General features: G+C 55.5%; 1 protein-coding gene across 2 annotated transcripts in view, besides 2 other annotated features; it reads right to left on the bottom strand.

Moving 5' to 3' along the window:
• Nucleotides 1-15,753, bottom strand: part of STKLD1 (serine/threonine kinase like domain containing 1) — a 29,731-nt gene that overhangs the window by 4,574 nt on the left and 9,404 nt on the right. Inside the window, exons 5-12 of one of the 2 annotated variants that reach the window (NM_153710.5) lie at nucleotides 13,975-14,076; nucleotides 11,927-11,997; nucleotides 10,727-10,842; nucleotides 7,114-7,232; nucleotides 5,760-5,923; nucleotides 4,229-4,359; nucleotides 3,468-3,551; nucleotides 994-1,110 (exon numbers count right to left, since the gene is read on the bottom strand). In NM_153710.5, the coding sequence (NP_714921.4) occupies nucleotides 994-1,110; nucleotides 3,468-3,551; nucleotides 4,229-4,359; nucleotides 5,760-5,923; nucleotides 7,114-7,232; nucleotides 10,727-10,842; nucleotides 11,927-11,997; nucleotides 13,975-14,076 (904 nt within the window). Of the gene's footprint in view, nucleotides 1-993; nucleotides 1,111-3,467; nucleotides 3,552-4,228; nucleotides 4,360-5,759; nucleotides 5,924-7,113; nucleotides 7,233-10,726; nucleotides 10,843-11,926; nucleotides 13,092-13,680; nucleotides 13,767-13,974; nucleotides 14,077-15,753 lie in introns of both variants that reach the window. The other variant, NR_103997.2, reaches the window with a different exon arrangement.
• Nucleotides 516-1,153: an enhancer, noted in NCBI's record as "H3K4me1 hESC enhancer chr9:136265498-136266135 (GRCh37/hg19 assembly coordinates)". NCBI's record gives its function as "activates a minimal SCP1, AML or CMV promoter by ChIP-STARR-seq in naive H9 embryonic stem cells {active_cell/tissue: H9 hESC(naive)}" and the evidence as "EXISTENCE:reporter gene assay evidence [ECO:0000049][PMID:30033119]".
• Nucleotides 9,617-10,254: an enhancer, noted in NCBI's record as "NANOG-H3K27ac hESC enhancer chr9:136257045-136257682 (GRCh37/hg19 assembly coordinates)". NCBI's record gives its function as "activates a minimal SCP1, AML or CMV promoter by ChIP-STARR-seq in naive H9 embryonic stem cells {active_cell/tissue: H9 hESC(naive)}" and the evidence as "EXISTENCE:reporter gene assay evidence [ECO:0000049][PMID:30033119]".

The following is a 15,753-nucleotide window of genomic DNA, read 5'->3' as shown; positions in this document are numbered from 1 at the left end:
TGGTCCCTGGGAGCCAGTCAGGCAGCACTGAACACAATTTCAACATTGCATGGAACTCCAAACTTCCAACAGTGAAACTAGAAAGGTGGCCGCGCGCGGTGGCTCATGCCTATAATCCCAGCACTTTGGGAGGCTGAGGCGGGTGGATCACGATGTCAGGAGTTCAAGACCAGCCTGACTAACATGGTGAAACCCGTCTCTACTAAAAATACAAAAATTAGCCAGGCGTGGTGGTGGGTGCCTGTAGTCCCAGCTATTCAGGAGGCTGAGGCAGGAGAATCGCTTGAACCTGGGAGGTGGAGGTTGCATTGAGCCGAGAGTGCGCCACTGCACTCGCCTGGGTGACGAGCAAAACTCCATCTCAAAAAAAAAAAAAAAAGTAACTAAATACTTTTTGTTTCAAAAAAAATCATCAAAGCTAATTCAACTCTTTTAACAACCCATGTCTCTCATAGGAGGCTCAATCTCTCAGCTCCAACCTCTTCCATCAGGACAGTGAAATGAACTCAGCACTGCCCTCCTACCAGCCCTCTTCAGAGGACACAACCCATCCTCCCTGAGGGTCACTCCAGAGGACCTCGTGTCCAGCTCCTCGCTTCATAGCTGGGAAAACTGGCAGGATCATCAGGAACTTGTCCAGGGCCACGGAGCAGGCAAAAGGCAGGCCTGGGTGGGATCCGCGTCTCCAAGCTCCTGGCCTGTGCCCTCTCTGCCATCCAGGATGGGGTCTGATGGGCACAGGATGGCATGGACTCTCCAGTGGTTAGATGCCAACCAGGTGGTGGGGGCAGAGCTAGGCCACCAGGAGTGTCTCCTGGCCTGGCCCTGGCATCCACCTTGGCCTAGAAGATGGCCTAGAAGGTGCAGCAGCAGGGAGCAGGGCATGGCTTCCCCTAACCCACCCGGCCCGGTGCCCACCTTGGCCCAGGAGGCACAGCTGCAGGAAGCAGCGCACAGCCTCCCCGACCCCATCTGGCCTGGTTTGGCACCCACCTTGGCCCAGGAGGTGCAGCAGCAGGGAGCAGGCACACAGCTGGACATCGAGGACCCTGTCATGTAGCTCCATGGTCGTGACCACCACCTCCACCAGCTCCGGGGGCCACGGCAGACCTGGCAGGGCGGGCGGCACAGGGGAGACTCATTTTGGGCCAGATCGGGGGCATATAGACCCGACCAGGGCCCCCAGAGGCTGGTAGGAGCCTGCAGGGCCCTAGGTGGGTGAATAGAAGGGGGAAGGACAATGAGGATTAGCGCTAGGTCCATGGAGTGCATGCCATGTCTGCCACGGGTGTCCTGCTCTGTGCTGCCCACAGCCCTGTGAAGTGGCCCCTCCCAAGGCTGCCCTCCATATGCAGATGAGGAACCTGGGGTCAGCAGGATGAAAGCACCTGCTCTTCAGCAGTTTGAACCTAGCCAGTCTATTCCAGAGCCCTTGGCTGCAACTGCCCTGAGGGTGGACATGGGTGGGTGGGCTCCATCCACCCTGCCACTGTGCCAGAAACTGTTGTGGGCTGGGGACTGGGTGAGGGGCAGTGGCCAGGCAGCCATCCCTCCACTCTAGGCTCATGAGAGCAACAAGGATGAAGTCCTGGCACCTGGAGTGTGGAGCGAAGCAAGACCCCCCCCTCTTTTTTTTTTTTTTTTGAAACAGAGTCTCACTCTGTCGCCTAGGCCGTTGTGCAGTGGCATCATCTCAGCTCACTGCAACCTCCGCCTCCTGGGTTCAAGCGATTCTCCTGCCTCAGCCTCCTGCGTAGCTGAGATTACAGGCATGCGCCACCACGTCTGGCTAATTTTTGTATTTTTAGTAGAGACAGGGTTTCACCATGTCTGGCCAGGCTGGTCTTGAACTCCTGATCTCAAGTGATCTGCCCACCTCAGCCCCTCCCAAAGTGCTGGGATTACAGGCATGAGCCACTGCGCTGGGCTGCAAGCCCATTTCTAAGCAAGGCGTGGAGGGAGGTGTGGCTCCGGGTGGTGGGAAAGACCTACCCTTTGGGATGGGGCCCAACAGCTTCCCTAGTTTCCCCAGGGAGGCAAAGTCTCTCTTCCCAGGGACTCTGTCCTGGTCACAGCTGAGCTACAAAAGGGGTCGAAGAGGAGGAGGGGAGGGAGGGAATGGTAAATTAGGCCCATATGAGGCCTCTGCTACCTACTCAAAGGCCAGGGCTGGGCCTTGTCACCTCTGAGGCCCGAGCCACTGCAACAAACCTCAGTGGATTCCTAATCCAGGTCTGATGGATAGACAGACGGATGGATGGGTGGATGGGTGGATGGATGGATATGTGAAGGTAATGTTCAGGCAGGTGAAAAAGGTTGAATGGAAAGATTTTATGAAAGCATGTTTTGGCACAAATGTTTTAAAAATTGGCCGAGCACGGTGTCTCACGCCTGTAATCCCAACACTTTGGAAAGCCAAGACAGGCAGATCACTTGAGATCAGGCGTTTGAGACCAGCCTGGCCAACATGGTGAAACCCCCTCTCTAATAAAAATACGAAAAATTAGCTGGGTGTGGTGGCACACACCTGTAGTCCCAGCTACTTGGGAGGCTGAAGCAGGAGAATCACTTGAACCCAGGAGGCGGAGGTTGCAGTGAGCCAAGATCGCACCACTGCACTCCAGCCTGGGGGACAGAGCGAGACCCTGTCTCAAAAACAAACAAACAAACAAACAAAAACAAAAAAAAACTGCTTTTCCCAACACTCTCCATGAATGAGCAGTAACAATCTTTTTGGGTTTGGTTTTGTTTTCTGAGACAGGGTCTTCTAGGCTGGAGTGCGGTGGTGCAAGCGTAGCTCACTATAGCCTCAATTCCCTGGGCTCAAGCAATCCTCCTGCCTCAGCCTCCTGAGTAGCTAGGATAACAGACATGTGTCACCACACCTGGCTAATTTTTTTATTTTTTGTAGAAATGGGCTCTCCCTTTGTTGCCCAGGCTGGTCTCAAATCCCTGGGCTCAAGCAGTCCTCCCGCCTTGGCTTCTCAAGGTGCTAGGATTACAGGCGTGAGCTACTGCGCCAGGCCATGCATTCTTAATAGGTGGGCAAGTTGTATCTGTGAAAAGTTAAAGTATTCACACTCTTGAACATCTAGGAATCTGTGCTACGGAAACAAGTGCACAGATACATACACACCAGGGTGTCCGTTCTAGTATCATTCATAATAGTGGAAACTGAGAAACAACTCAGATACCCCTCATAGGGACAGTGGGGAAGATGGGATGTCTGTGGCTCCATTAAAATCATGTGAGGGCTGCCACACCACCCATTCCCCTTCTCTGCTGTCTTCCCCAGGCAGATAGCAGAGACACGGGACTCTTCTGGGGACACATGCACGCCTCCACGCTGCAATAAAGCACTGGCGAGGAGAGCCCGGGGTGAGGGCCAGCCTCAGCTCCCCACAGGCCGGACCATAGCTTCTGCCCCTAGGGGAGCAGCTGGGAAAGGGGTGCAGGGTGGGGCCTACCTAGCTGATCTGCAGGCATTTTCAGAAGCCTCTTCATGGCCCTGAGCTGGACTTCGGGCCAGCCAGAGAATTTCTGCATGACCTCTGCAGGGACAGGAAGGCAGGGGAGGGACCTTTCTGAGGACCAGGGCCTCGGGGCTCTGTTTCTCGGCACCACACTGGGCTGGCTGCTGTGTGTGCATCCCCTCCTCAGATCCACAGGTTCAGGATGAGAGGGAGGGGCTGTTACCATCCCCACTTTACAGATGAGGCCACTGAGACCAAGCAACTTTTCCTTAATAGAACCCAAGTCTCTGTCTTGGAGCACACAGATGATGGAGCGCACTTCTGCTCATCCTGGGCACATAGAAGCACGCAGGAAGGAAGTGGTGCTGTGTGAGGAAGATGTCCTGGGACCACTGTGTGCCACCCAGGCTGTGGAAGCAAAAGCAGAGGGTTGTGGGAGGCGTGGGCAGTGACTAGGCCATTGAGCTACATAGAGGATTTGTGTAGCAGGAGCGGAGGGAAAACAGGTGGGGGCCAGGCTATGGAGAGGAACTTTGTGTTATAGGTAGTTGGGAGCTATGGAGGATATTTGAGCAGAGCGGTGTCCTGGGCAGTGTGTAGGGATGGATGGAGGGAAACTGTTCCTACCCACTGGTCGTGCATGTGGAGCAAGGCCAGGGGCATAAATAATGAACCCTCTGGAACTAAACAATAGGATGCCAAGGCCATGGACAGGAGCTTCAGGGCACGCTCCCCCTTTGTGTCCCCAGCATCACCTAAAATGCTGGCCACGTTGCCTTCTAACAGCATGTCGGTGATGGACGCAGGCACCATCTGCCGGTGCAGGGTCAGAGAGACGCACGAGGACTTGAAGGAGCCTCTCAAGAAGGTGATGTGCACCACGTCCCTAGCAGAGGAGCAGAGAGGGCTGAGTAACCCAGCAGCGCCCCCTGCCACCTCCCCGTGGGGCTCTCCCTCTGCCTCTGGCTCCGGGCTGCCCATTGGTGCGGACACTGGACACTGAACTCCCTGTTTTGGGATTCATTTGGCAGGGTCTCTCATAGTGTCCCCAGTGTGTCCGGCAAGCACCCCAGCAATTCCACACCCAGGGACGTACTCCATGGAGGCAGGGCCTCAGCTCACAGAGCTGGGGGACAGTCCGGGGCCCTGGCACTTTTGCTCTTGTCCCCTGCCTCCATAGAAACATGAAAACCCAGATTTTACAACTGCGTTGGTATAAAGATGAATATGACCCAGGCTGGATTCCTTGCTATATGTTGGGTTTTTTGTTTTGTTTTGTTTGGGTTTTTTTTTAGATGGAGTTTCACTCTTGTCACCTAGGCTGGAGTGCAGTGGCACAATCTCGGCTCACTGCAACCTCCACCTCCCGGGTTCCAGCATTTCTTCTGTCTCAGCCTCCTGAGTAGCTGGGACTACAGGCGCACCCCACCATGCCCAGCTAATTTTTTTTCTATTTTTAGTAGAGACGGGGTTTCGCTCTGTTGGCCAGGCTGGTCTCGAACACCTGACTTCAAGTGATCCACCCACCTCAGCCTCCCAAACTGCTGGGATTACAGGTGTGAACCACCGTGTCCGGCCTGGATTCTTTGTTATATGTTTTTGTTTTGTTTTTGAGACAGGGTCTCACTCTGTCACCCAGGCTGAAGTGCAGTGGCGAGATCTCAGCTCACTGCAACAACCTCTGCCTCCCGGGCTCGAGCGATCCTCCTGCCTCAGCCTCCCCAGTAGCTGGGAACACAGGCATGCACCACTACACCCAGCTAATTTTTTGTATTTTTCGTAGAGACAGGGGTTTCGCCATGTTACCCAGGCTAGACTAGAACTCCTGAGCTCAAGTGATCTACCCGCCTCAGCCCCCCAAAGTGCTGGGATTATAGGCATGAGCCACCGCCCCGGCCAGTGTTATGTATTTACTTTTGTCTTCTGATTTTAAAGTAAGTTAGAATGAAAAATTTAAAGGTGACCATTGTCTTTAGGAATTTTTTTTTTTATGTAGAATGAAAACTTTTTTCTGGAACCCTAAAAGTGTCGTGGGTCCTGGGGGCTACGCCTCCTGTGCCTCCTGGGGGTCAGTCTGCTCACTCCACCGTACATTCGGGATTACTCGCCGCAGCACGGTTTGGGAGAGCCAGAACTGGGCAAAGCCCAGCTGTGCAGGGATAATCAGGGCATCTGTGATGGAGTTCTTTGAGGCGTTACAAAGCCAACTAGCTGTGCTTGTATTAGGGTGGAGAGATGTTGAAAGATAAATCCACAGGTTAAAATAAACCCCGACCCTGAGCTCACTTTATCGTTATTCGATCCGAGGGGTCGATCTGGAGCATCAAGGGCAGAAGATTCCTGAAGGTTTCCACATCCGGGATCTGCTTCTCCTCCATTGTCTTCAGGACGGCCTTCAGGCTGCCTGGGCTCTGGCGGAGGGACTTCCGCAGATGCATGGCTTCTGTGCCCTGCACGGAGAGAGGACAGCTCTGTGTATTCCCTTAAGTAAATGAAAACTAGGTCCCAGCATGGGCAGGGGACGACCAGGGACCAAGAAATCCAGGAGGAGACCAGGGAGAGCCAGGTGTGGCCACCGTCTACAAGAATGCCCAGAGACCCCAGGGGCCCCAAGCTCTTCCATAAGAAGAAATGGAGTTTCAGAGAAGCCAGCGGGTTGTCTCCCGGGGTGGAGTCCTGCCAAGAAAGCCCCCTGATCTAGACCCAGCCAGTAAGACAGCATGCCCATTTCACAGAGTGTGAGCATGCCCAGGGTCACACTGCCTGGGCTGGGGCTGGAGCTCAGGCTAATTTCCAGGATGTCACACAGCCTCCGAAGTGGGAAGGCTCTCATTTCCCTGGGAGTCTTTCAAAGGAAGGGAGTGGCAAGGTGCTTCTCAGAGGTGGAGTCTGGGGGTCTGGGAGACCATGGGGAACCTGGGTCCAGCCAGGTGTCTGTCCTTTCTGGGGACCTCGGTGCCTGCAGGTGGTGCTGCGGAGAAGGGGAGCTTCCTTGTTTTGGGCATGGCAGGCCTTCCCCACTTTTCTCTTCTGCATATAGAGGATAGGAAGCGACAGGCTGGACTTCCCTGCCTCCCTGCAGCCAGAGTGACCTTGGAGTGCTCGCGGGGCCAGTGGGGCCCTCTGCCTCCCCTCCTTCCTGCCCACAGGCTGTGGCCATGGTGCAGGGGCCCCAGCAGGGATGAGAGAAAGAGCTGCATGCTAAGGATGTGCAGGAGGAGAGAAGGCACCTCCACACCAGCCTGGGGCTTGTGCATGAGACAGCCAGGTGTGTTCAGGCCCACACTGGGTTCCCGTTGCTTGCAACTCCGTGCAGCCTTCATGCTCACAAGGGCACCTGAACTTGGCTTTTCTCCATCAAGAGTCAGTGACACCACCTGGAGGGCTGCTGCGAGGGTCGCGTGGGATGGTCTGAATATTACCACTGCTGTCATTATCCTGCTAGAGCCCAGCAGGTGCTGCAAGCTGAGGGGTTCTGAGGAGGGCAGGCCCCTCGCAGGTGGAGAAGAGGGCTCTGTGCAGCCTGCAGAGAGCCAGGGGAAGGGATGCAGAGGGGAGGCAGGGTGAGGCCAAGCCTTTTCCCCAGGCCTGGGCGCGTGGGGAACAGCATGTGGGGTGTGGGGGAGGGAGGGCGGCTCACATCCATGAAGGAGCAGCTGGTCATGTCCAGAATGATGCAGCCCAGGGACCAGATGTCTGATTTCTGGCTGAAGGAGAAGTTGAGGGCTTCAGGGGCCATCCAGGACTTACGAAAGGGGTCTGTTGGTAAAAGCAAGGTGGGATCCCTGAGTCCTTTGCTCCCTGGGGGCAGGGGCTTGACAGAGTCACCCTGCCCAGCACTGTATCCCCTTTGGTGGCCCCCCGCAAGCAGCTTGAAACACAAGCCCTGCAGGTCCTCTTCTCAGAAGAGGTGGAGAATATTAACTGTGGGGAGGAAGAGGCCCCAATCAGCGGGAGCTTTGTGTTGATCTGGAGCCACTGAAGCTGTCCATCTTGGTGGGTGCCCACCAGGCTGGCCCATATAGGTGGTGTGTCTGTGTGCCCTGGATGGCTGTAGAAGGAGTTGGAAGAGGCACGTGCCAAGAAACTGTGCACCCCTCTAAACTTCTTGCCCCTTCTAAATGTCAGGACCTTGGGGGCAAAGTTACAGTTGCTCTGCCCTACTTTCTCAACTGGAACCCCAGACAGGGAGGCAAAAGAGCAGACTCCTCTGAGTCCATCAGTCCCTGGTTGGCTTCAGGCAGCCCCTCCTTCTCTGGACCTCCATTCCCCAGCCCAACAGTAAAGGGCTGGACTCCAAGGACGCATGCCATCTACACCTCCAATAGAACCAACCATCTGCCCGTCTGTCCACCCATCCATCCACGCACACCCCATCCATCCATCCATCCACCCACCCACCCATCCACTCACCCACCTACACACTCATTCACTCACTCACCCATTCACTCACTCACCCACCCATCCATCCACATACCCACCCATCTACCCACACACTCACCCATCCATCCATTCATCCATACACCTACCCACCCACACATCCATCCACATGCACCCACCCACCCATCCATCTACCCACCCAACCATCCATCCACAACCCATGCACTCACCCATCCACCCACACACCCATCCCTCTAACCACACACCCATCCATCCATCTACTCACCTACCCATCTATCCATCCATATATCCACTGACCCACCCACCCACCCACCTATCCATCCACTCACCCACCCATCTATCCATCCACTGACCCACCCACCTATCCATCCACCCGCCCACCCATCCACTTACCTACCCTCCCATTCATCCATCCGTCCAACCATCCATCCATCCATCCATCCATCCATCCATCCATGCACTCATCCAATCCATCCACTCACCCACCTACCCACTCATTCACTCATTCATCCACCCACCCATCCATATGCCCACCCACCCACACATCCATCCACACATGCACCCACCCACCCATCTACCCACCCACCCATCCATCTACAACCCATGCACTCACCCATCTGCCCATACACCCACCCATGCAACCACACACCCATCCACCCATCCATCCATCTACTCACCTACCCACCCATCCACTCATCCACCCATCTATCCATCCATCCATCCATCCACTGACCCACCCACCCACCCACCTATCCATCCATCCAATCCACTAACCCACCCACCTGCCCACCCACCCATCCACTCACCCACCCTCCTATCCATCCATCCATCCACTCATCCATCCATCCATCCACTCACCCACCCACCTGCCCACCCACCCATCCACTCACCCACCCTCCTATCCATCCATCCATCCATCCATCCATCCACTCATCCATCCATCCACTCATCCACTCACCTACTCACCCATCCACTCACCCACCCACCCATCCACTCACCCACCCACCTATCCATCCATCCATCCATCCATCCATCCATCCATCCACCCATCCATCCATCCATCCACTCATCCATCCATCCATTCATCCATCCACTCATCCATCCATCCATCCACTCACCCACCCACCCACCTATTCATCCATCTATCCACCCACCTATCCATCCATCCACTCACCCACCCATCATCCATCCACTTACCCACCCACCTATCCATCCTACCACCCACCAAACCACACACCCACCCATCTACTCATTCATCTTCTGTCTACCAAGGACTGAGTGTGGCCGGGTGCGGTGGTTCACGCCTGTAATCCCAGCACTTTGGGAGGCCAAGGTGGGCAGATCATGAGGTCAGGAGATCGAGACCATGGTGAAACCCGGTCTCTACTAAAAAAAATACAAAAAATTAGCTGGGCCCAGTGGCAGGCGCCTGTAGTCCCAGCTACTCGGGAGGCTGAGGCAGGAGAATGGCGTGAACCCGGTAGGCGGAGCTTGCAGTGAGCCGAGATTGCGCTACTGCATTCCAGCCTGGGCGACAGAGCGAGACTCCGCCTCAAAAAAAAAAAAAAAAAAAAGGACAGAGTGCAACCAGCAACTGCCATCCTGGGACTCTGGACTCCTCCTCTGTGGTTGATCTCTCCAGCCCCCTTTCTCTGGCCATCTTTTCAAAGGAACGAGAACTCGTCTCCCCTTGCCACCCACCCCTTCATCTCCTGGGTTGTTGTAGGACTCAGTGATGTACACGCAGCCAGTGCCTGGCACCCACAGACCCTCCGTCCTGGGCATTTTCTTTCTTTTTTTTTTTTTTAATTGATCATTCTTGGGTGTTTCTCGCAGAGGGGGATTTGGCAGGGTCATAGGACAATAGTAGAGGGAAGGTCAGCAGATAAACAAGTGAACAAAGGTCTCTGGTTTTCCTAGGCAGAGTGTTTGTGTCCCTGGGTACTTGAGATTAGGGAGTGGTGATGACTCTTAACGAGCATGCTGCCTTCAAGCATCTGTTAAACAAAGCACATCTTGCACCGCCCTAATCCATTTAACCCTGAGTGGACACAGCACATGTTTCAGAGAGCACAGGGTTGGGGGTAAGGTCATAGATCAACAGGATCCCAAGGCAGAAGAATTTTTCTTAGTACAGAACAAAATGAAAAGTCTCCCATGTCTACTTCTTTCTACACAGACACAGCAACCATCCGATTTCTCAATCTTTTCCCCACCTTTCCCCCTTTTCTATTCCACAAAACCGCCATTGCCATCATGGCCCGTTCTCAATGAGCTGCTGGGCACACCTCCCAGACGGGGTGGCGGCCGGGCAGAGGGGCTCCTCACTTCCCAGTAGGGGCGGCCGGGCAGAGGCGCCCCTCACCTCCCTCCCTGACGGGGCGGCTGGCCGGGCGGGGGGCTGACCCCCCCACCTCCCTCCCGGACAGGGCGGCTGTCTGGGCGGGGGGGCTGAGCCCCCCACCTCCCTCCCGGACGGGGCGGCTGGCCGGGCGGGGGGCTGACCCCCCCCACCTCCCTCCGTCCTGGGCATTTTCATATCCTTCCTTCTGACACTTTCTTTTCCCTCCATGAGAGGCAACATTTTCTGGGGTACCACAAACAACCACGACTTTGTTTCTCTCAAATGTTGGGTGTCTGTGGGGCCCTGCCTCTGCCCTGGTGGTGGCACGCCTGCTCAGTTGCAACCCAAAGGAGGTCTCTTTGGAGTTTACACAAGGCCAGGGCTTTGTGGGGACCTTCTGAGCAAACAGCTGTTTGATGTTGCCTCACTCCAGCACCCAGAGTGGCCAACGCCGCCTGGATTCTAGGCGCCAACCCCCTCTCCCACAACCTGGGGGAGCCCCTGCCACCTTCCTCCGCACGAATATTCCATTTGGCTTTGTCTGTCATTAGCACATTGGAACTCAGGTCCTGCAGTTTGCAGTGGTCACTGCTGATGAGGATGATGTTGGAGGGTTTGAGATTCCTGAAACCAAGAGGTGGGTTTGCCTCTGGATGCCAAGGGGCCACCTGGGCAGCCACCACCCACAACCCCAGGTGGGACCAGTGTGTGTGCTGAGCCTGACTCTCTGCTCCCTGCCCCACCTGGTTCTGCAGCAGCAGCCCACATCCTCCTCTCCTCCACAAAATGCCCCATCTCAGCCTACTTTTTAAGCAGTTGTTTCCTATGTACAGAAATATACTCAATTATTTTAAATCGGGGGAAAAATCCTCAACCACAAGTAGGAACACACCCAGCACTCCGAAGAGGCCCCTTAATTGACACATTCACCTCCTTAGATATCTCAGCTACACGTTTGCCTGGGGATTGATTTTTGGCCATTGTGCGACGTCTAGTGACATGAACACTGGATGTGGAATGTGAGCATTCCCTTTGTACGTATGGTCTGCGTGGTGTGTGTGTGTGTGTGTGTGTGTGTGTGTGTGTGTGTGTGTGTGTGTGTGTGTGTGTTTTAAGTCAGGGTTGCCCAGGCTGAAGTGCAGTGGCACGATCATAGCTCACTGCAGCCTCAAGCTCCTGGCTTCAAGCAATCCTCCCATCTCAGCCTCCATGTTGCTAGGACCACAGGCGTGCACCACCACGCCCAGCTGCATAGTTTCCCTCTTCCTCTTTAAATAAGATATTGGTGTTCAGAATTGGAGCCATCTCCCAGCCCCTTCAGACCATGGATTCTCCAGCCTGAAAGTTGTGCCGCTGGGGGTCAAAGGCTCAGCAGGGCCCACTCAGCCCACACTGGCCCCACGGCAGGCAACCCGGTCTCTCTTCTTGGCAGGGCTTTTGCCTCCTTCCTTTCCACGAACTCTAGAGCAGCCCGCCTGGCTAGCGCACACCCCATGCAGCTGTGCGTGTGCACATGGCTTGAGACCACTTGGAAGAGCCTCTTTCAAGCCCGGGAGGAGCTCTGTAAGGTCCCATCCTATCCTGGCTGCACTGGCCCGGTGCACCTTTCTCCCCAGATCCTGCCCACGGGCACTGGCACCCGAGTGGCCTCAGTGCCTTTTCTCCCGAAGCAGCCAGCCAGTCCGCAGAGGTCAGGGGCCCCACTTACCTGTGGATGATGTCCAAATGGTGCAGGTATTCCAGCGCGTCCAGCACCTGGCCCAGCACATTCTGCATCCACTGGGGGAGAAGTAGGGGGTGCCAGGATGGGAGGGGCACCCTGTGCTGCTTTCAGGGGGGTGACACTCAGAGCAGCCAGCAGGATGGTGGTGTATCCTCTCCTTGCATCTTGAGACAGGCCTGAAGCCAGCCAAGCGCTCAGGGTGGAGGAGGCTTCAGCGTGGTGGCTCTCCAGATGGTAAAGCCGCGGCGGCAGCCAGAAGGACTCTGAGTTTCCAGACTCCACACTGCTGTCTCCATACCAGAGACCCTGGGTGCTGCAGGGGCCCCATCCCTGCACCCTACTCTGTGGCCCGCGCTGCCCCACACTTGCTGGGAGCTGAAGGCAGATCGGCCTTGCGGGTATGGGAGAGGTGGAAGCCTTCAGTGCCTACATGAGCTCAATCCTCTAGGTCATTCAAATGAAAAGAGCCCTGAGAGAGAATGCTAGGAGTGTTCTGCATCAGAGACAAGCTCCATCGAGTACCCAGCGCGGTGATTCTAAAGCTGGGCTCCTAGGGCCCCTGGATTCAGGGCCACCCTGGGGTGTCAGAGAGGGGCTGAGGGGGCAGGATGTGGGCGTCCTCCCACTGCCCCCAGTTAGAGTAGGTCTGCTGCACTTACTGGGTTTCTGGGAATATTTCGTGTTTTGAAGGGCTTCACTCACAAAGTCTGAAACTCACTCCGGGCCTGCCTCTGAGGCCCATGGTAAGAGAAGAGCTGTGTGCCCCGAAGAGCCCCTCAGGGGTACATGGTCCCCCCAAACACAGTTCTCAGGGTAAAAGCAGGTAGCATTCATCTGGGGTAGATGAAAGATCTAAATGTGAAGGCAAAAATAACCAAGCTTCCATAAGACAGAGGAGAGTATCTTCATGATCTTGGAGCAGGAAATGCTTCTTAAACTCCAAAGGCACTAACCATAAGAGTCAGCATTGGGAAAGCGAACTCCATTACAGTTAGGACTTTCCATCATCAAAAGACATCATTAAGAAAGTGAACTGGCTAGGCGCGGCGGCTCACATCTGTAATCCCAGCACTCTGGGAGGCCGAGGCGGGTGGATCACTTGAGGTCAGGAGTTCGAGACCAGCCTGGGCAACATAGCAAAACCTTGTCTCTATTAATAATACAAAAATTAGTGGGTGTGGTGGTGGGCACCTGTAGTCCCAGCTACTTGGGAGGCTGAGGCAGGAGAATCGCTTGAACAGGGAGGCGAAGGTTGCAGTGAGCCAAGGTCGTGCCACTGCACTCCAGCCTGGGCGACAGAGTGAGACTCCATCTCAACAACAACAACAACAACAAGACTGACACAATGAAGTGCTGGCCTCCATGTGGATCGGGAATGCTCACAACTTGTGAGAGTAAACATGGGGCCAACCAAACCAAGTCGGAAATCTGTTTGGAGCATCCACTGAAGCTACACACATGTACTCTACGACCCAATAATTCCACTCCTAGGTATTCATCCCAGAAAAGTGAGTGTCTTCCAGCAATGCTCATAGCAGCCTTATTCACAATAGCCCCAAACTGGAAGCAGCCCAAATGAGACTAGGTAAACAGCCTGCAGCGCAATCAGGCAGCAGAGTGGCAGCAAGCAATGAACACATGATTTGCTGGTGCATGCAGCAGCACCGCGGGGCTCACAACAGCAGGCTGAGGGAAGGAGACCAGACAGGAGTGGCAGCATGCCGGACGAGTCCATTTACAGGAACTTCAGGGACCGGCAGAACAATCTGGAATCATGGTCACCGACTGGGAACCTTCTAGTGTTAGGAACGCCTTCTGTCTTGATCTGGGTGGAAGTTGTGTGAGTGCATCAAACTGTGCACTTAAGATCTGCACACATTACCTAGAGTGCAATGCCTCGAGGCACACATTTAAGAAAAAAACAAGGCTGGACTCCATGGTGCCTGCCCTCCCGCTGTTACTTTGCCCTGCACCGCAGGGCCTGTGTCACAGGTCTAGGTGGCCCCCAGGCCTGGTGCCCCAAAGGACCTCACCTCAGAGTCAATGATTTTCTTTGCCTTCCTCTTATCCTCAATGACCTCCTGGAAGCTGAGCTCATTGAACTCCATCACCAGGCAGAGGTACAGAGAAGAGATCTGCTGGGACAGGAGGCCCTTAGCCAAAGGACGCCCAGGCCCCGGTGCTTCTGCAGGCTCACCTGCTCCAGGGCCTCCCTGCGCTCAGCTGCCATTTGCAGTGGCCGTGGGAGCACTGCCCACTGGAGGGGGCTACAAGCCCCTCCTGCCCCACCTTCAGCTTCCTCTCTCTCCTCTCCCCATTCCCAGGCTCCACCTCCACTCCACACTCCATCCACACCAAGCTACTTGGACTTTCCCAAAAGCTGCACTTGTCCCCTGGCCACTGCACACATGGACCCCTCTGCTTGGACCACTACCCACCCCCTTCATAGGGATAACTATGCACCCTTTAGGGCTCAGCTCAGACCCATTTCCTCTGAGGACCCTGCCCTGGCCAGAGCCCCAGCAGACCAGGTCAGGGCCCCCAATTCTGTGCTCCCTCCCATAGGGAAATGTCCTCTTGGCTTCTCTGCACCCTCCTTGAGAGCATTAGGGGGTGCTCAGAAAATCTTTGGGAGTGCATGCAGTGAGGTCCCCTCCCCAAGACCCGCTGGAGCAGAGGGAGCGTGTGAGGGGCCTTTCCTGCTCGGACCCGGGATTGTTGGCCCCAGGTGGGAACACCAGTGTGGACATCTCATGCAGGCTGGCGCCTGGCAGAAGGCTTCTCAGCCTCTCTTTACCTCCAGCACCCCTTGTGCCTGCTCAGCCTCCCGCTGTCTGCCTCAGTCCCATCAGAAGTGACTGGAAAGCTCCTGGCTCCTTGTAAAGACAAGAAGTCATCCAGCCTACAGGACCCGGCTGCTGGACCTGAGTCTCCGTCCCCAGTCAGCTGTTTACTAGCTGTGTGGCCTTGGAGAGCTCCTGAACCGGAGCCCTAGGCCCCATCAGGAGCACAGGGACAGTACTTCCTGCCCTGCAGCCCTCCTGGCACGTGATGACGGATGTGGTGCTGGTCAGTAAGCTGCACAGGGGCTGCAGGAGTAAGGGGCGCACAGGCCCAGGACGGCACCGGTGTCGGGTGGCTGTGGAGACGGAGGTCAACTAGCTCCTTCCATGAAAGTAAAAACTCTGTCATCAGAGGCACAGGCTCACCAGGACAAGCTCGTTGGCTGCGTGCAGAGCCCGGGAGTCAGGCCCATCTGGCCTGGCCCTCTGGCTTGGCCACGTACTAGCTGGGTAACCTGGAGCAACTTGTTTCTGTTAGCCTCTGTTTCTTCTTCTGTCAAATGGGTTAAGAACCCCTCCTGGTCAGGCGTGGTGGCTCACGCCTCTAATCCCAGCACTTTGGGAGGCCGAGGCGGGCGGATCACTTAAGGTCAGGAGTTCAACACCAGCCCAGCCAACATGGTGAAACCCCGTCTCTACTAAAAATACAAAAATTAGCCGGGCATCATGGCACGCGCCTGTAATCCTGGCTACTCGGGAGGCTGAGGCAAGAAAATCTCTTGAACCCGGGAGGCAGAGGTTGCAGTGAGCCAAGATCACACCATTACACTCCAGCCTGGGGGACAAGAGCGAGACTTTGTCCAAAAAAAAAAAAAACTCTCCTGACGATGAGGTTTTTGGGGCTCCTATGAGACTATGCACCGAAAGCCCCCAGCATGGTACCTGGCCCCAGTGAGTGTTAGGTCAGGGGTGGCCACGTTTACAGTCACTGCCATTGCCACACGAGCTATTCTGACAGTGGGGGGTGGG

The sequence above is a fragment of the Homo sapiens genome, chromosome 9, assembly GCF_000001405.40.
Source record: "Homo sapiens chromosome 9, GRCh38.p14 Primary Assembly".
Classification (NCBI taxonomy): Eukaryota; Metazoa; Chordata; class Mammalia; order Primates; family Hominidae; genus Homo; species Homo sapiens.
This window is presented reverse-complemented; position numbering and strand designations above follow the sequence as displayed.